The following is a 20,728-nucleotide window of genomic DNA, read 5'->3' as shown; positions in this document are numbered from 1 at the left end:
TGCAATTGAGGAACCTTAGACATAAATATTTAGTATAAGATTAGTCTTTTCTTTGAAACTCACAAACCTTATTTCCTTCAAAAATCAGTGAAATCATTTACTTATTACACCAATATTTGCTGCATGACTCCCTTTCTTCATTTGGAGGGTCCCCATGCTGTTATAAGGATTCCAGGCACCTTATCAGAGCCTTTAGTTCTATGGTGCCGGGGGTCTCTAATCATTATTCCAGTCGTGACACACTTCTAAAGCTTTGCCCTTCATAGCTACTACTGCTATGGCCTAGGGGTACTCAAGACAATTCAATGGGATATGGGAAGTTTTCCTTTTCATTTTATTCTTTAAAATTTTCCCTTTTTTCAATGTTAGATTTTATGATATATGTATGTATATAAATATACTGTATACATAGATTATATATTTTTTATTACAGTAATGCTTAACTTATAAGTAAATAGGTTCATGCTCACATTTTTTTTATGGTTAGGTGTGCATGAACTGAAAAGTATGGAGACCACTGCTTTACGGCATGGTAGTACAAGTAGTATTAACAAGTGGGCACATGGATTGGGCACAAAGTACTCAGTAGTCCAAGAATATTTCAGTAAGACTGCAAGAAGGGAGGAAATCAAGTTTCAGGAGAAATTCTAAAGGCCTAAGACTGTCATGGATCCAAATGTGTATTTTCTGAATTTAACATGCAAATCTTTGTTAAGGGGTTCAAGAAAGTCATTTCTTATTTTACAAATACTAGCCATGGTAAACTGATTAGGAATATGTTTAAAAACAAAAAAACAAAAAACTAGCCATAAGAAACTACTTAGTTCTATATCATCCCTGTGAGAAAGGAAAAAAAATTCTTATGTTAGAGAAAACAAAGTCTAAATTCTTTAGATTTTTCATATATGTTTAAGCATGTGTGAATAACATAAAATTAGCCAAGCAAAACAGAGAAATCATAGTTATGCACTGTACCAAATTAGCTCCCCAAAGAAAGTATAAACTGGGGTTTAAGTCAAAGGAAAAGGGGAATAAAAACTATATGATCATGACCGAAGAATCAGTGTCATGATTTTATTAAGCTCATAATTTTAAAATTAGCTCATTTTATAATTTCCTATAATTGAATAATGTTCTCTAAGTGTAAACAGTATTAAAGGCATGATTCATCTGACAGCAAACTATAATGAAGTTTACATTTTAATCCAAAAACATTTCCAAGAATATTGGCATCTAATACTTTTTAATAGTGGTCCACATACAAATGTTATTTTGTTGAACTTTCATTCAAATAAATTATATTTTGCCACATACAGTTATTAAAACAAAGCAGTATTTTTTATAAAGCATATATGTGTTTATTTTATTTTTTTTGAAACAGTCAGTGGTGTGAGTTTGTCTGAGGTCTTTAAGAAAAGAATCTTCAGCCGGGCGCAGTGGCTCACACCTGTAATCCCAGCACTTTGGGAGGCCAAGGTGGGTGGATCATGAGGTCAGGAGTTCGAGACCAGCCTGGCCAACATAGTGAAACCCTGTCTCCACTAAAAATACAAAAATTAGCCAGGCATGGTGGCGTGTGCCTGTAGTCCCAGCTACTCGGGAGGCTGAGGCAAGAGAATTGCTGGAACCTGGGAGGCGAAGGTTGCAGTGAGCCAAGACTGTGCCACTGCACTCCAGCCTGGGTGATAGAGTGACACTCTGTCTCAAAAAGAAAAAAAAAAAAAAAAAAAAAGAAGAAGAATCTTCAAGAGTTTCCCAGATACAGGCTTTTTTGTGAAGCCTCCAACCACTGCAGAAACTTCCTGCCCAATACATATACTCAGACTGACATAAACTACAAAAAGTAAAGAATACTCTAAAGAGGGCACTCAGGTAGAAAAAAACATTTTAATGATTTTTACCTCCATAATATCTTTGATAAAAGGTGTCCACCGAGAGAGCTGAAAAGTTTCTTCTGCAGACCGATCCTTTCTTAACGGTTTGCCTTGTTGAGACTAATACAATTAGAGGAAAAAAATTAAAAACCAGTAATTCTATTCAAATATAATACTCTTACGTTTCCTAACGAAGATATTTAATTTACCAGTAAATACTATATTGTATTTGACTTAAAACTAAGAGTGGAGATGCCTATTTTAAAAAATCTGAGTGTGGTCGCATAACTCCACTGAACAGTATTTTGTGCTTTAATGCTAAAATTTATTTATAATCATATCAGAACATATGTCTATTAAAATAAAAGTATTATAAAACTTGATGGCTGTAGTCCCAGCTACTAGGGAGGCTGAGGCAGGAGAATGGCATAAACCCAGGAGGCAGAGCTTGCAGTGAGCCGAGATCGAGCCACTGCACTCCAGCCTGGGTGACAGAGTGAGACTACGTCTCAAAAAAAAAACACACACACACACATACACACAAAAAAACTTGATGGGGCCAGATGCAGTGGCTCACACCTGTAATCCCAGAACTTTGGGAGGCTGAGGCGGGCAGATCACCTGAGGTCAGGAGTTTGAGAGCAGCCTGGCCGACAGAGTGAAACCCTGTCTCTACTAAAAATACAAAAATTAGCTGGGCGGATGGCAGGCGCCTGTAATCCCAGATGGGAGGCTGAGGCAGGAAAGTTGCTTGAACCTGGGAGGCAGAGGTTGCCGTGAGCCGAGGTCATGCCACTGCACTCCAGCCTGTGCTACAGAGAGAGCCTCTGTCTCAAAAAAAAAAAAAAAAGATGGGAAAGAGTGAGATTCTAAATAGAGCTCTTCAAAATTTGACTTTGAGCCTTTTTTTTTTGTTTTTTTTTTTGAGACAGAGTCTCACTTTGTGCTGGAGTACAGTGGTGTGATTTTGGCCCACTGCAGCCTTGACCTCCTGAGCTTATGAGATCCTCAGCCTCCTGAGTAGCTGGGACTACAGGTACACACCAACACACCTGGTTATTTTTTTGTTTTTTGTAGAGGCGAGGTCTTACTATGATGCCCAGGCTGGTCTCGAACTCCTGGGCTCAAGAAATCCTCCTGCCTCAGCGTCTCCCAGAGTGTTGGGATTACAGGTGTGAGCCACCATACCCAGCGAGCCTAAATTTTTTTAATCAAGAAAATATATACTTATTTTCTCTGCCATATTATAGTTAAAGGTTACACGTTTAACTAAAATATGACAATTGTTATAAATGAATCATAAAGACAAAAATGTAAGTAGTGAATTATGACAGAAGCCATAAAATACAAATTCGCTAGAAAACTGCATTTGCCCAAATTACATATGGAAAAGAGAACAAAATCTTTAATTGCTTACTTATTCAAAATCTATAGAGTGAACTTAAGAAGACTGTCCACATAAAAAAAAAAAACAGTTAATACATACAACCATACATACACATACATATAAAGTATATACACAACATAAGACTTCTTACTTGGGGAACAATGGGAACACCAAGGTAACTCCAGTTACGAATCATGTCACTCTCATTTTCTATCTTTACATTCTGGATCAACCTGTCCAAATTTTCTTCCGTAGTTCCTTAAATAGGTAAAAATATGAGTGCACAATCACACAATTGCTACCAAAATAATTTCAAGGCTTTAGGTAGTACCCATGAATGAAGCTTTTAAAATAAAAAACAGTCAAATTATATCTCCTTCAGTCTTCTCTCGATTTCATATTTTCCCTTTTATCTTAACCAAGTTCAGCAACTATCTTTCAGTTTTCAAAGATTCTTTTATGATCAATAGTAAAATACTTATTAAAAAGTGATTATCTCCATTACCATTAATACTGAAGATATAAAGTAGAATTGCTCTTATTTTATCACAATTATCATGATTTTTGTTGAGTAGAACTGGAAGGAGTACTCGCATGGAATCTTTCACCTTCTGTCCTTCTGCATCAGTTCCAAGTGCCAGGTCCTTAATGAAAATAAAATATTGTCAGTGATCTATAACCAAAATTCATTTTTTAGTTAAAAACATCTATTATTGGCTGGGTACAGTGGCTCACGCCTGTAATCCCAGCACTTTGGGAGGCCAAGGCAGATCACCTGAGGTCAGGAGTTGGAGACTAGCCTGGCCAACATGGTAAAACCCCATCTGTACTAAAAATACAAAAAATTAGCCGGGCGTGGTGGCAGGTGCCTATAATCCCAGCTACTCGGGAGGCTGAGGCAGGAGACTCACTTGAACCCGGTGGGCAGAGGTTGCAGTGAGCCATGATTGGGCCATTGCACTCTAGCCTGGGCAACAAGAGCGAAACTCCGTCTCAAAAAAACAAAAAACAAACACACAAAATCTATTATTAAATCTTGTCAAATTTTAATGGAACACTGATGACATTACACAAGAAAATATGAACATCACTTGTAAACTATTGTTTATACAAAATACAAAAGGTCAAAAAATAAATCAGAGAAGATAAAAATCATTAATCTAAACCTATGCTATCCAGTACTGTGGCCACTAGCCACATATGACTACTGAACACTTGAAATGGGATCAGTCTGAATTAAGATGTGCTGTAGGTACAAAACACCAGGAGACTTGAAGTAATACAATGCAAAATTATCTAATTAATAACTTTTTATACTGATTATATGTTGAAATAATATTTTGAATACATCAGGTTGTCAAAGTTTTTTTTTTCTTTTTTTTTTTTAAAGAGACAGGGTCTTGCCCAGGCTGCCCTCAAACTCCTGGGATCAAGCAATCCTCCCACCTCAGCCTCCTGAATAGCTGGGACTATAAGCACACACCACTGCACCCAACTTATTCGTAAAATTAATTGCACTTTTTAATTTTTACCTGCATTAACATGGCTATTAGAATAATTAAAATTACATGCAGCTTGTATTCTATGAGGGGCAATGGTCTAAACAGTTGAGGCATGATATAAAAGGCCCCTTGTAAAATGAGCTCTGCTGGATGCTATATTAAATCCCGTACTGAGAAGGTCCTGCCAATAATGCCACCCTGAAATCATGCTCCCAAAATTTAAATCATTCCATTAAACAAAAAATATATAATATATTAGGAGGGACTGTTTACTAAGATACTCTACAGCTACTTGTTAATGTTAGCGGGGAATGACATTAAATACTGCCTAGGTGGCTCCCCTGATAAGAGAGAGTCTGTGATTCTGTAAAAACCAACCACTGTATCAAGCAAAAAGTTAGGTTTTAACTTACAAAGTTTATCCTTGAAATTTGTTATGAACAGAGGCATTTCTGACTCTGCACATACCTGTTCAGTTTTGCAGAGCTTTTCTATATTAAGCTTGAACTTATTCATGCAATCTTCTGCTAAGTTAAGATGGACAACTTGCTGAAAAACAGAAGAAATCAATCATTTAAAGGATTTTAATGACTTTTGTGCAACTGGTAATATTAAACTTTTGAGACAGGCCTGAAAGAAAGTATGGGCTGAGGTGAAAGAAGGTAACATGTAAGCAAGGGAACAGCTCAAGAAAGGAAGTAAATGAGAAGGTGATTTACAGGTGAAATGGTTTGGCTATGTCCCCACCTAAATCTCATCTTGTAGTTCCCATAATCCCCATGTGTTGTGGGAGGGACCTGATGGGAAGTGTTTGGAACATGGGATGATGGGAGTGATTTTCCCCATGCTGTTCTCATAATAGTAAGTGAGTTCTCATGAGATCTGATGGTTTTACAAGTGTCTGGCATGTGCCCTGCTTGTACTTCTCCCTCCTGTAGCTTTGTGAAGAAGGTGCCTGGCTTCCCCTTTGCTTTCTGCCATGACTGTAAGTTTCCTAAGGCCTTCCCAGCCATGTAGATCTGTGAGTCAATTAGACCGCTTTCCTTTATAAATTACCCAGTCCTGGGTATTTCCTTACAGCAATGTGAGAACAGACTAATACAACAGGAGGCAATCAACAGACAGCATAAATGGGATGGAAGCATTGAATTGTTGAATTTGTGTTGAGTTTGACAGTAATGAAAAATAACATGAGAAAAATACCCAGAAGTTCTTCAAGTTCATATTCTATTTATCTTTCTAAATGTTTCAAGTATTTTAACACACACAAAAATCATTGGTTGACTAGGGTGCAACATGACAAAAATGTTAAGATTATTCTGATAGTGTTTTTAAGGAGCAAAAAAATAGTTTACCTGACTAAACAGCTTAAATGCTCTTAAATCTACTAGTAAGTAACTATTACTTTAAAGAAACATGTAGAATAACATCCACTAGTCAATCTAGTGCTGAATTTCTTGTAAGGTTGATAAATGTGACTCTGTTAGGCTATTCAAGACAAAGATATAGAAACTTTAAGCTGGATTCAGATAAATCTAGGTTATACATATAGAGAAGTTATGAAGAAGCTTAGATATATGGGATATCTCTCAGACCTATAGTAAGGTTTTAGAGGACAAATAACACCAAGTATTCCACGAAACCCACTGCTAAATCGAACTACAGAACTGAATATAAACTGAATATAAACTAAAACTAATCAGGTATCTCATATACAATACTGCTTACCTTAGTAATCTGTTTTCGGAAATGGGGCATCTTTTTCATCAGCTGGGTAAGAGCACTAAGTGATGTCTAGGAAAAATCAAACATTTTTTTAGGCAAGCCTATGATTCAGTTATTCCATATTACAACTTTGAAATCCTAGAGTTTTACAAATTATCAAATCTAGTTAATTTACTGAATATTTGACAATTTTTTTGAAAGAAGAATTTAGGAGGCTTCCAGTTTCACTCACAATAACGTAGCTGATATCAACATTACTCTCCCTTCATAAATAAATAAGATTGGACAAATAAATAAAACAATAGCTTTCAAGTAATGGATAAAAATAGCTCACAGCTGAGACAGCTGAGTGAAGGAAAGCACCAAAGGTGATCCCTGCACGCACCCTTCCTTTCCCTAAAGATGTTTTCCAAACACCACTGAAAGGAAATACAGTTCAAGTAGAGAGCAATTATCTCCCTGGGTGCAAAAAAAAAAAAAAAAAAAAAAAAAATGGAGATAAGAGCTTGGGGCTGTGAGGTAGATTTTGGGAAGCAGAGTGCTAAAAAGAAAGGAGCTAGACAGAACATAACCCAAAAATGTGTAAAGAGATTGTCCTTGAACCCCTAAGCTGCACATGTACAGGGCATAACCCTCAAAGGTGTAGTAAAGAACAACTTCTGGGTGGCTAAATGTTGGACAAGATTTCAGAGGGGTCTTAGTGCTAAGAATATACTAGCATCTCCTGATCTAGACAAAGTAAAGAGACCTAAGTGAACATCCTACACATTCAGTCCTGGGACTATGCCTTAGGACTCAGTGCAAAAGTGAAATAAATTTACCATAACATTGTCTAACATGAAGTTACAACAGAATCACGATTATTCCTCAGCAACTTAACTGCCTGCCAGAACAAAACTCAACATTCTGTGTAGAGACAGCATCATCTAGAACCTCTGCAATGTATCATCCACCATGTCTAGCACAATAAAACATTAATAGGTGAAACAGGAAAGTGATTGATACTCAAGTGACAAAACAGTCAATAAAAGTAGACCCAAGATAAGGAATAAGTTCTAGTGTTTGATATCACAATGATGGCTATAGTTAACATATATTTTGTATTTCAAAATAGCTAGAGGAAAAGATTGGAAATGTCCCCAACACAAAGAAATAATAAATGTTCAAGGTGATGGGTATTCTAAATACAATGATTTGATCATTACACACTGTATGCACGTATAAACATATTACATGCCTCATAAATATGTACAGTTACTATGCATCAATAAAAAAGCTAAGAAAAGAACACCTCAAAATGTAAAAACAAAGAAACTCCCAAAAAGTAGACCTAAGATGTTGTTGGCAGAAAAAGACTTCAAAGTAACACATTTATGTTAAAGTGGAAACAGAGGAAAAGATGGACTACATGGATCAAAAGATGGAGTATTTTAACAGAGAACTAGAATTTATTTTCTAAAAATCCAATGAATGTCCTAGAGTTAAATATAAGACTTTAAGTTAGCAAATGATAACATCTGTTCATAGACATGAATGTCTGATATGAAGAAGGTGAATATTTTTAGTAGCTTTATTCATAATTGCCAACAACTGGAAAAACTAAAATGTTCTGAAACTGGTAAATTGATAAACAACTTGTGGTACATCCATATGATGGAATACTACTCAGCAATAAAAAGTAATGAAACTACTCTTGCATGCAGCATGAATGAATCTCAAATGCATTATGCTAAATGAAAAGAGCCATAGTGTATTACTCCATTCATTGGACATTCTGGAAAAGGCAAAACTACAGGGTCAGAAAACAGATTAGTAGTTGTCAGGGGATGGGGACTGAGTTAAGGGGTTATCTGCAAACGGGCATGAGGACATTTTGGGGGGTGATGACATTATTCTCTATCTTGATTGTGGTAGTGGTTATATGAGAGTGTGCATTTGTCAAAACTCACAGAACTGTATACTACAAAGGGGAAATTTTGCTTTATACCTCAGTTTTCAAAAGGATACAATGAATGGGTTTAATAGCAGACTGAATACAACAGAAGACAGAAGTAGGGGACTCAAAGTCAGGTTAATAGAGAACATTCAGTTGCAATGCGGAGAGGTTAAAAAAAAAAAGGTAACAGAATGCAAGAGATATAGAATACAGTCAAGAGATCTAAAAAACATGTTGACTGGGGTCCCAGAAAGAGAGAAGAGAGAGGATGGGACAAAAGGAAGATGTGAGGAGATAATGACCAAGAATTTTACAAACATAATGAAAGTTATCAACCCAGTGACTCAAGAAGCTCAGCAAACCCCATGGAGGATAAATAGCAAGCAAACCACATTACAGTAAGGCATATCATGGTCAAATTGCTAAAAAATCAAAGATACAGAGAAAATATTAATAAACACAGTTTATCTTCAGGAAAACAATAATACTTAACAGCTGCCTTTTTTCAGCAGAAATTATGGTAGCCAGAAGGTGATGTATTGAAAGCTTTAAATTGCTGAAAGGAAAAAAATTGCCAACTTTGAATTCCAAATCCAGCAAAAGTATCTTAGAAAAAATTGCAAAACGAAGATGCCCTCAGACAAAAAGAAAGCTGGGAGAATTCAATCTAACCCAGCTGGAAAAACTGAAGAGCAGTAAGAAATAAACAGTACCAGAATGTATAAATATGTGGGTAATAATAAAAGTCTACTGAGTGTTTATAACAAAATAACATCTTGCTTTTATTTTTTTGGGTTTTTCTTTCTGAAAAAAATAACATCTTGAGTTTATAACATACATTGAAGTAAAATACATGAAACAACTGCACAAAAGAGAAAGGGGATAAAGTTAAACTATTATAAGATTCCTGAATTATTCAGGACATGACATATTCAGGACATACTATTAAACTAGGGTAAGAATACATTTTTAAATTTCCAGTATAATAACTAAAGGAAGGACTAAAGGCAAAACACAAATGTTTATATTGGAGATGAAATGGAATTTATTTTTAAAAAAGACTTGATAAAGAAGGAAAAGAATAGAATATAAAAAATGAAGTGAAAACAAGATACTAGATATAAATTTAACTATATCAATAATTACATGAAATATATATGAACTAAACAAGCATTCTAATTAAAAGATTTTTGGGCTGGATAAAAAAACAAAATTCAACTACAAGCTCTTTTTAAGAAGCACATTTTAAATATCAAGACACAGGTAGTTGAAAGTAAAGGATGGGAAAAGATATACTATGTAAACACTAACAAAAGAAAGAAGATATAGTGGTATTAACATCAAAGTAGACCTCAAGACAAGAAATACTGCAAGTAATAAAAGGGACATTTTATGATGATAAAAGGCCAAATTCAACAGAAAGATAGCTATCTTAAATGTATAATGAACTTAACATAGCTTTATCAGTTAATATAACTTCAAAAGTTGAAAGGACTAAAGAAAAACAAACTAATTCACAGTCATGATCAGAGTTTTTAATATACCACTTCTAGTAACTGACAGAGCAGGTAAAAAAAAATCAGAAAAGAAATAGAAGATTTGAACATGATTAACCATCTTGATTTAACTGACACATACAGAATTTATATTCCTTTCAAGTACACATAGGGCACTTATGATAATATATGCTAGGTCAGAAATCAATTTTTTTTTTTTTTTTTTTGAGACAGAGTCTCACTCTGTTGCCCAGCCTCCTGAGTAGCTGGAGCCACAGGTGTGTGCCATCACACATGGCTAATTTTTGTATTTTTAGTAGAGATGGGGTTTCGCCATGTTGGCCAGGCTGGTCTTGAACTCCTAGCCACATGTGATTCGCCTGCCTTGGCCACTCAAAGTGCTGGGATTACAGGCACGAGCCACCATGCCCAGCCCCATAAATCAAGTCTTAACATATTTTAAAAGACTGATGTCATATAGTGCACATTCTCTGACCACTGTATAATTAAATTACAACTCAGTAACAGAAAGATAACTAGAAAATTCCCAAATGCTTTGAAATTTAAAAACGTATTCCCTATATAACACATGGGTCAAAGAAGAAATCATAATAAGGGTTAGAAAATGTTTTGAACTAAATGAAAATAAGTTATTCCAAAACTCCTGGGATGCAGCTAAGTTTGAAGATGTAAATAACTATAAAATATATACAATAGAACAGAAGAAAGGTTGGAAATCAATGTTCTAAAACTCCAACTCAGGAAGCTAGAAGAAAAAATTTAAACCAGGGGTGTCCGATATTTTGGCTTCCCTGGGCCACACTGGAAGAAGAACTGTCTTGGGCCACATATAAAATACACTAACAATAGCTGATGAGGTTAAAAAAAAAATCACAAAAACATCTCATAATGTTTTAAGAAAGTTTACAAATTTGTGTTGGGCCACATTCACAGCCGTCCTGGGCTGTATGTGACCCATGGGCCACAGGTTGGACAAGCTTCATTTAAAACAAAGTAAGCTGAAGGAAGGAAATAAAACTGAGTAAAAATCAGCTAATTAAAGATAAAACATGCAAGAGTGAAAATCAACAAAGACAAATGTTGGTTCTTTGAAATATTAATAACATATGCAGTGAATTTTATTTTATTTTTTTTTACATGGAGTCTCACTCTTTTCTCCAGGCTGAAGTGCAGTGGCACTATCTTGGCTCACTGCAACCTCCGTCTCCCAGGTTCAAGCAATTCTCCTGCCTCAGCTTCCCGAGTAGCTGGGATACAGGTAGGCACCATCAAGCTCGGCTAATTTTTGTATTTTTTTTAGTAGAGACAGGGTTTCACCATGTTGGCCAGACTGGTCTCAAACTCCTGACCTCAGGTGATCCGTCTGCCTTGGCCTCCCCAAGTGCTGGGATTACAGACGTGAGCCACCGTGCCCGGACTGCAGGGGATATTAATAATATATAGGGGAATAAACAAATTAACAATAGCAAGATTAGTAAATAAAATCTAACTATAGATTCTACACATATTGAAAGGATAAGAGGACATTTCAAAATTTAGATATAATAGACAAATTCCCTGAAAAATGCGATATCCCAAAACTAATGAAGAAAAAGTAAAAAACTAAATAGTTCTATATCTATTAAATAACTTATCATTAATTATAACGAAAGACCTCCCCATAAAGAAGTCTCTATGCCTGAACTGCTTCAATGGTGAATTCTTTCAAGCAGCAATAGAACAAGCAGTAACAATCTTACACAAACTCTTTCAGAGAATGGAATGACAAAGTGTGCATCACAATTCATTTCATAAGACCAAAAAAATCTTGCTGCTAAAACCTGACAAGAACATTACAAAAAAGGACTATTACAGAAAAGTATTTCTCATAAATATAGAAGCAAATATCCTACAACAAAATATTAGCAAACAAAATCCAGTGATAGAGGAAAAGGATGATGCATCATGATCAAGTGGAGTTTATTCTAGAAATGGTTACTTTTATGTTAGTAAGTCAATAAATGTAATTCATCACATTAACAGAATAAAGGGGAAAAAAAGACAATATCAAAATGCCTTTGATGAAATCCAACATCGAAATTTCCTGATTAAAAGAAAACAGAAACAGGCTGGGTGTGGTGGCTCACGCCTGTAATCTCAGCATTTCGAGAGGCTGAGGCAGGAGGATTGTCTGAGCTCAGGAGTTCGAGACCAGCCTGAGCAATATGGTGAAATTCTGTCTCTATTAAAAACACACAAAAATTAGCTGGGCATGGTGGTGCACACCTGTAATTCCAGCTGCTTGGGGGCCTGAGGTGGGAGGATCGTTTGAGCCCAAGAGGTTGAGGCTGCAGTGAGTTGAGACTGCACCACTGCACTCCAGCCTGGGTGACAGAACAAGACCCTGTCTCTTAAAAAAAAGAAAAAAGAAAAAAACAAAAAACAGAAACACATAAAAACCTGTTGGTAAACTAAGAATAGAAAGGAACATCCTTAATCTGATAAAAGAAAACTACCTAAAACTAACATAATACTTAATGATGAAATATTGAACTCATTTCCCATAAAGCTGGGAATGAGACAAGGACGCTCATTATCACCAGTTTGATTTCATGTTATACTGGAGGTATCAGCCAGAACCAGGAGGTATTAACTACTAAAAAAAAAAAATTTTAAACGTATGACAAGCTTGTCTAACCCACCTTATTTTGTTGTTGTTGTTGTTCTGTTTTGTTTTAGGCTTTTTGCAGCCTGAAGCCATGGTTTTTAGTTTCTGTCTCTAGTGATAAGTGGAAAAGAGGGATAAGGAAGGGACTTTACTAGCCGAAACAGAAACTAAGAACCCATGACTGTATTCTCTCCTTTGGACACCTCTGGAAGATTAATTTAGAAAGGAAGACACTAAATTTTCTTTATTCACAGATTATATTACTGTGTATATAAAAATCCAGCTAGGTGCACTGGTACCTGCCTGTAGTCCCAGCTACTAGGGAGGCAAGGGTGGGGGGATTGCTTGAATTCAGAGACTAGCCTGGCCAACAGAGTTCCGATCTCTTAAAAACAAAAAAGCCAATCTATAAACAAAGTACTAGAATTAAAAAATAAATTTAGCAAGGTCACCAGATCCAAGGTAAATATACAAAAATCAATCACATTTTATATACTAATAAAGTAAAATGGAATTTAAAAAATACCATTTATAACACCAAAAAATCAAATACCTAGAAATAAAGAAAAAATGTGCAATACCACTAAAATGAAAATTATAAAATGCGGCTGAGATAAACTATCTACATAAGTGGAGCTATATTCTATGTTCTTGGATCAGAAGATGCAATATTTTTGTCAGTTCTTCCCAAATTAGTGTACAGATTCATGTAATCCCAATCAAAATTTCAGTTAAATGTTTCTGTTGAAATTGTCAAGCAGAATCTAAAATGTGTATTAAAAGACAAAGGTTGTAACAGCTGAGACAATCTTGAAGAACAAAGCTGGAAGACTTATACTACCAAATTTCAAAACCATTACAAAGGTACACTAGTTAAGACAGTGTGGTCTTGTTACAAGGATAGACAAATTGACCATGGAAAAGGACATGGAGTCCACAGACCCACACATTTATGGTCACTTGATTCACAACAAATGCATTACTGCAACTCAATGGTGAAAGGATGGTCTTTACAATAAACAGTGCTTGAGTAATCAGATATGTATATCGAAATAAAATGAAGCTAGACCCTTACCTCACACCATAAATCAAAATTAATTTGAGTGAATGGCATGGTTTGGCTCTGTGTCTCCACCCAAATCTCACCTTGAATTGTAATAATCCCCACGCGTCAAGGGCAGGACCAAGTGGAGATAACTGAATAATGGGGGCAGTTTCCCCCATGCTGTTCTTGTGATAGTGAGTGAGTTCTCATGAGATCCGATGGTCTTATAAGGGGCTTCCTCCTTCACTCGGCATTCTTTCTCTCCCCTGCCACCCTGTGAAGAGGTGCCTTTCACCATGACTATAAGTTTCCTGAGGCCTCTGCAGCCATATGGAACTGTGAGTCAACTGAATCTCTTTATAAATTACCCAGTCTCAGGTATTTCTTCATAAAAGCGTGAGAATGGACTAATACAGTTTTGGTACCAGGAGTGGGGTGCTACTGTGAAGACACCTGAAAATGTGGAAGAAACTTTGGAACTGGGTAACAGGCAGAGGTTGAACAGTTTGGAGGGCTCAGAAGAAGACAGGAAAATGTGGGAAAGTTTGGAACTTCCTAGAAACTTGAGTGATTTTGGCCAAAATGCTGACAGTGATATGGATAATCAAATCCAGGCTGAGGTGGTATCAGCTGGAGATGATAAACTTCTTGGGAACTAGAGCAAAGGTGACTCTTGCTATGCTTTAGCAGAGATTAGTGGCATTTTGTCCTTGCCCTAGAGATCTGGGGAACTTTGATCTCAAGAGAGATGATTTAGGGTTATCTGGCAGAAGAAACTTCTCAGCAGTCATTTATTCAAGAGGTGACAGAGCATAAAAGTTTGAAAAATCTGCAGCCTGACGATATGATAGAAAAACCCATTTTCGGGGGAGAAATTCAAGCTGGCTGCTGAAATCTGCATAAGAAACAAGGAGCCAAATGTTAATCACCAAAACAACGGGGAAAATGTCTCCAGGGCATGTCAGAGACCTTCGTGGTAGCCCCTCCCATCACAGGTCCAGAGGCCAAGGAGGAAAAAATGGTTTCGTGGGTCAGGCTCAGAGCCTTGCCGCTTTGTGTGGTCTTGGGATTTGGTACCCTGCATCCCAGCTGTGGCTAAAAGGGGCCAAAGTAGAACTCAGGTCATTGCTTCAGATGGTGCAAGCTGGTGGCTTACACGTGGTGTTGGGCTTACAGGGTGCATAGAAGTCAAGAACTGAGGTTTGGGAACCTCTGCTTAGATTTCAGAGGATGTATAGAAATGTCTGGATGTCCAGGCCGGAGTTCGCTGCAGGGATGGAGCCCTCATGGAGAACCTCTGCTAGGGTAGTGCAGAAGGGAAATGTGGGGTTGGAACCTCCACACATAGTTGCCACTGGGGCACTGCCTAGTGAACTGTGAGAAGCGGGTCACCATCCTCCAGATCCCAGAATAGTAGATCCACCAACAGCTTGCAACATGTGCCTGGAAAAGCTGCATACACTCAACACCAGCCCATGAAAGCAGCTGGGAGAGGGGCTATATCCTGCAAAGCCACAGGGGCAGAGCTGCCTAGGGCCATGGGAACCCACCTTTTGCATCAACATGACCCAGATGTGAGACACGGAGTCAAAGGAGATCCTTTTGGAACTTTAAGATTTAATGACTGCCCTATTGGATTTTGGACCTGCATGGGGCCTGTAAGCCCCTCTGTTATGGCCAATTTCTCCCATTTGGAACAGGTGTATTTACCCAATGCCTGTACCTCCATTGTATCTAGGAAGTAACTAACTTGTTTTTGATTTTATAGGCTCATAGGCAGAAGGGACTTGCCTTATCTCAGATGAAACTCTGGACTTGGACTTTTGGGTTAATGCTGGAATGAGTTAAGACTGTAGGGGACTGTTGGAAGGGCATGATTGTGTTTTGAAATGTGAGGACATGAGATATGGGAGGTACCAGGGGCAGAATGATACGGTTTGGCTCTGTTTCCCTACCCAAATCTCACCTTGAACTGTAATAATCTCCACATGTCAAGGGCAGGACCAGGTAGAGATAACTGAATCATGGGGGCGGTTTGCCCCATGCTATTCTTGTGATAGTGCGTTCACACAAAATCTGATGGTTTTATAAGGGGCTTACCCCTTTGCTTGGCACTCATTCTCCCTGTGACATGGTGGCTTCTGCCATGATTGTTAAGTTTCCTGAGGCCTCCCCAGCCATGTGGAACTGTGAGTCAATTAAACCTCTTTTCTTTATAAATTACCCAGTCTCAGCTATTTATTCATGGCAGTGTGAGAATGGACTAATATAGTGAATTACAGACTTAAATGTAAAAGCTAAAATGATCAGCCTTACTGAAGAAAACAGAAGAATATATTAATGACCTCAGGGTAAGCCAAGACTTCTAAGGACACAGAGAAAGTATAAAAGAAATAAATTGATAAATTAGATTTCATTAAAATTGAGATCTTCTGTTCATCAAAAGATACATACATACATAAATACATGTATAGGACTCATATCCAGAAAATAACTTCTAGAAATAAGAAAAACAGACAACTCAATTAAAAATGGGCAAAAGACCTTCAATGGGCACTTCACAAAACAGAATATCCTAATGGCCAATATGCACAAGAACATTAGAGAAATTGAAATTAAAACCACAATAAGATACCATCTCGTGCAATGAAATTTTAATTGAAAATAAAGACAAGAATATATCAAGTGTTGGTGGCAATATGGAGCAACTAGAGCACTCAATTATTGCTGATGGGGATGTAAATCAGTTGAAACACTTTGCAAAACTTTTGGCATTACCTATTAAAGCTAAACACAATCCTACCCTATAACCCAATAATTTTACTCTTAATATACCCAAGAGAAAGAGTGTGTATGTCCACCAAATTACATGTACAAAAAAATCCATAGCAGCTTTGTTCATAATAATCCCAAACTGGAAACAAACTAAATGTCCATCAAAAGGAGACAAGATGAACAAATTGTTGTATATTTACATAATGGTATTACTACTATACACAAATGAAAAAAATGAATTACTAAAATACGTAACACAGGTGAATCTCATTATGTGAAGTTCAAGAACACAATCTATGGTGATGAAAATTAGAATAGAGTTTACCTCTGGCAGGAGGGGTACTGACAGGGAAAGGACAAGAGGGAATATTCTGGAATGATGAAAATGTTCTGTATCTTGATTTAAAGTGGTGGTTTCAAGGGTATATATAAGTAAAAGTTATCCAGTATAAATTTAAGATTTGTGTGCTTTACTTATAAATTATATCTGAATGTAAAATCCCAACAATGCATTGATAAAATTGACTAAATGGCCTTAAAATAAACTTTATGGCCAGGCACAGTGGCTCACACCTGTAATCCCAGCACCAAAGTGGGCAGATCACTTGAGGCCAGGAGTTTGAGACCAGCCTGGCCAACATGGCAAAACCTTGTCACTACTAAAAATACAAAAATTAGTCAGGTGTGGTGGTGCACACCAGTAATCCCGCTGAGGCAAAACAATCACTTGAGCCTGGGAGGCGGAGACTGCAGTGAGCTGAGATGGCGCAACTGCACTCCAGCCTGCATGGCAGAGTGAGACTATGTCTCAAAAAATAAAATAAAATAAAAAAATTTTAATGAAGCAGGACAGACAAAAATGTTGTTAACTATTGAAACTAGGCAATGGGTACGTAGGAGTTCATTCTCTACCTCCATGTTAGAACTTTCCAAAAATAAAAAGTTACAGAAATAAAATAAAGATTTTAAACAAACTTTAAAATTCACCTTCACTATTACTTTGAAAGTTAAGTAAGACTCTTACCTTTCCTTCTGTTGCTTTCTTTGTTGATGAAATTTCTTTCATAAGCTTGGGAATTTCCCTGTCAAATTGTGAGAGAATTCTTTAAATTTCTAAGATGTAATTCTTTACAGAACTATTTTAAGGTTACAAAATGTACTATCACATAGTGTCTAAAAATTATGGAACAAAAATTAAAATGAGTTCACATACTCTAACACAACCGCAATATGTCGATGTCGAATTCTAACCCAGAGGTCATCTTCTTCTTCAAGGATGGCCTCCTTTTCTTTTCCATCTGTTTTATATCTACAAGTAGACAGAAGCACTAAAACTTTTTGATTTTTTTCCCTCCAAAATCAAAAGAAACATTTTTACAAACAATAATTTCAAGACACAACTCAAGAAACTGAAAAGTAAAATCCACTATTTTAGGGGGGTAATGAATACCTACTCAAAACTAAGGCACGCTGCTATCCTTACATTAAAAATAAGTCCTAAGCCTACCAAGACATTTTCAAATATTCAGTTTAGGTGCCATTATTAGAGTTTTAGTTCAGCAAAATTGTACTTTATAAAAAAAATTCAACGTCCTACAGTTAACTTTAAGAACAAGACTCAATATACTAACGCTTTGTGTTCTAATTCCCTACAACATTGTTTTGATGTGCTAATAACCCACAGTACAATTATCAAATTTCCATTAAGAACAGGAATATCGGCCAGGTGCAGTGGCTCACGCCTGTAATTTTAGCACTTTCGGAGGCCAAGGTGGGCGGATCACTTGAGGTCAGGAGTTCAAAACCAGCCTGGCTAACAAGGTGAAACCCTGTCTCTAAAAAAAAATACAAAAACTTAGCAGGGTGTGGTGACACACACCTGTAATCCCAGTTACTCTGGAGGCTGAGGCAGGAGAATCACTTGAACCTGGGAGGCAGAGTTTGCAGTGAGCAGAGATCGCACCACTGCACTCCAGCCTGAGTGACAGCACAAGACTCTGACTCAAACAAAACAAAACAGGAATATCCTCCCCAATATAACCTATTAAATATTGAAGGTGTTTCAGAATTGGTACAAAATTCACAAACATTTATCATCTGTTTCTTTATTCTCCCCCAACCCTATAACCACATCTCCTTTACAGAATGAGAAAGAAAATGAGATTAAAAAAAATTAATGTAAGCCATAAAAATTGTGATAGCTTTAATGAGTTCTGCTGAAGTGAGCAACAATTTAAGGGATTCATGAAGCTATTCAAAATGGGCTTCCTGACTGATTCCCCTTATCTTTTTATGCAGACACCCTCCTTCCATTTGTGGAACTAGACAAGACTGAATCATCCTTGGAACTACTGATTTCCTGAGTCAAGATCAGGAAGGACTGCATTGAGTTTTCCTAGCTCTGAACTACAAATAATACATATAGACTTTGCTATATGAATATAATCGTTTCTATAACCCCCACAAATTACACATCAATCTATAAAACCATCCACCTGTGTGGATTACAGATGACCAAAGACAGAATCACTGTGCTCAATTATATAAGGCTGCACTAAGGATGAAAGCCCTTTTGTCATTTAAAATACCACTTTGTTCTTACACAATACCTTTGACTTATAAGTGATCTGTAAACAGAGATAAGAGTAACAAGCCTGACAATACTCAGGTGATGAATATCCCATTTTAAAAGTAAATTTAGTTGGGAGGCCGAGGTGGGTGGATCATGTGAGGCCAGGAGTTCGAGACCAGCCTGGCCAACACAGCAAAACCCCATTTCTACTAAAAACACAAAAATGAGCCAGGCGCAGTGGTGCACACTTGTAGTCCCAGTTACTTGGGAGGCTGAGGCTGGGAATCATTTGAACTCAGGGGACGAAGGCTGCAATGAGCAGAGATCGCGCCACTGCACTCCAGCCTGGGTGACAGAGTAAGACTCTGTCTCAAAAAAAGAAAAAAAAAAAAAAGTAAATTTAAAGAAGGCACCAACATGAAAACTTGAATCTGGACACTTAGAGCTTCCTGCTGCTTTGTATTCTGTTTCCATAAAAAACTGTGATGAAGGCTGGGCGTGGTGGCTCACCCCTGCAATCCCAGCACTTTGGGAGGCCGAGGCAGGGGGATCACCTGAGGTCAGGAGTTCAAGACTAGCCTGGCCAACATGGGGAAACCCTGCCTCTACTAAAAAAAAAAAAAAAAAAAAAAAAAATTGTGATGGAGCACAAACCACAGGGAGCTTTACTTCCATCTAATTCTTATCTCTGAATGTTTTTGATTCAGAAAGAAGGGAGTATAGTAGCTTTTTAAAAAATAAGTCTACTTAAAAGTTTAGAGACCTACAGGGTAACAGAGGTAAATAATATCCCCTCTGAATAAACTGCTTAAAATAACTTTTATATTAGAAAAATAGCTATGTTATCTAACATTAATACAGATAATACAGAGAAAAACTCAGAAACCAAGATTTGACCAGAATGCAAATAAAAATACAATAGAAAATACAAATTTTAACAATATTTAAGAAAAAAAACAGTATCATAACTATCACAAGTGTCTGTATCTTAAAACTAACAAATTAGTTTAAACATAAAATTTCAGAAAACTATTTTCATTTTTATTACTGTACTCAAGCAGTAAATCTTAGCTGACAAATACCAGTTTGGATTCAGAAATCATGACATCAAATAACATTTGTAATGTATGTAACACATACACCATAAATGATACAGAGATACAGTAAGATGATTCCTTGATAGAAAACTATTTCATTTTTCATTTAGGTTTTTATTTGACATTACTTTTAAAGTAAATATGTTTATACCAAGATTAACTCAGTAGAAGGTACCAAAATGGTAAAACTATGCCTGTTGTCCTCAATAGCCATCCTATTTAGTTTTCTAGTGTTCCAATCTTTTAAAATACTTTATGTTGATAAGACACATACACTTTTGAATGTATGATTCAGAACAATTATAGCCTAACAATTTTGAATATGGTTTCTCCTTCAATGATAGTGAGCCTGGTATTTACTTTTAAAAGCAAAAGGGCCAAATTCCCTGTGTTTAAATGTAGCTCTACTGTACACACAGTTAAGGAAGCAAACACACCAAAAATGCTCCAAAGCAATCAAATTACACTTTAATTTACAAGGTCAACATTATCTGTCAAAGACTATAACTGTAGGAATAAGAGAAGGATAAAGTCTCTGAATAGAAAAGGTTATAGGGGCTTTCAGATTTCTGGTGCCTATATAAATCATTAAATGCTCATATTCTATCCTGTTTGTATATGCCCTTTATATGCCCTTCAAGTTATACTTGC

The 20,728-nt window shown here is 36.7% G+C and overlaps 1 protein-coding gene across 1 annotated transcript in view; it reads right to left on the bottom strand.

The window, feature by feature from the left end:
• The window catches only part of STXBP3 (syntaxin binding protein 3), a 62,850-nt gene that overhangs the window by 9,385 nt on the left and 32,737 nt on the right, over positions 1-20,728 (bottom strand). Inside the window, exons 10-16 of the mRNA NM_007269.4 lie at positions 17,622-17,717; positions 17,433-17,490; positions 6,492-6,557; positions 5,232-5,312; positions 3,767-3,905; positions 3,413-3,519; positions 1,902-1,994 (exon numbers count right to left, since the gene is read on the bottom strand). Of these exons, the coding sequence (NP_009200.2) occupies positions 1,902-1,994; positions 3,413-3,519; positions 3,767-3,905; positions 5,232-5,312; positions 6,492-6,557; positions 17,433-17,490; positions 17,622-17,717 (640 nt within the window). The remainder of the gene's footprint in view (positions 1-1,901; positions 1,995-3,412; positions 3,520-3,766; positions 3,906-5,231; positions 5,313-6,491; positions 6,558-17,432; positions 17,491-17,621; positions 17,718-20,728) is intronic.

The sequence above is a fragment of the Homo sapiens genome, chromosome 1 (genome assembly GCF_000001405.40).
Source record: "Homo sapiens chromosome 1, GRCh38.p14 Primary Assembly".
NCBI classification, from domain to species: Eukaryota; Metazoa; Chordata; class Mammalia; order Primates; family Hominidae; genus Homo; species Homo sapiens.
Note: the sequence above shows the minus strand (reverse complement) of the source record. Positions and strands in the feature narration are given on the sequence as shown.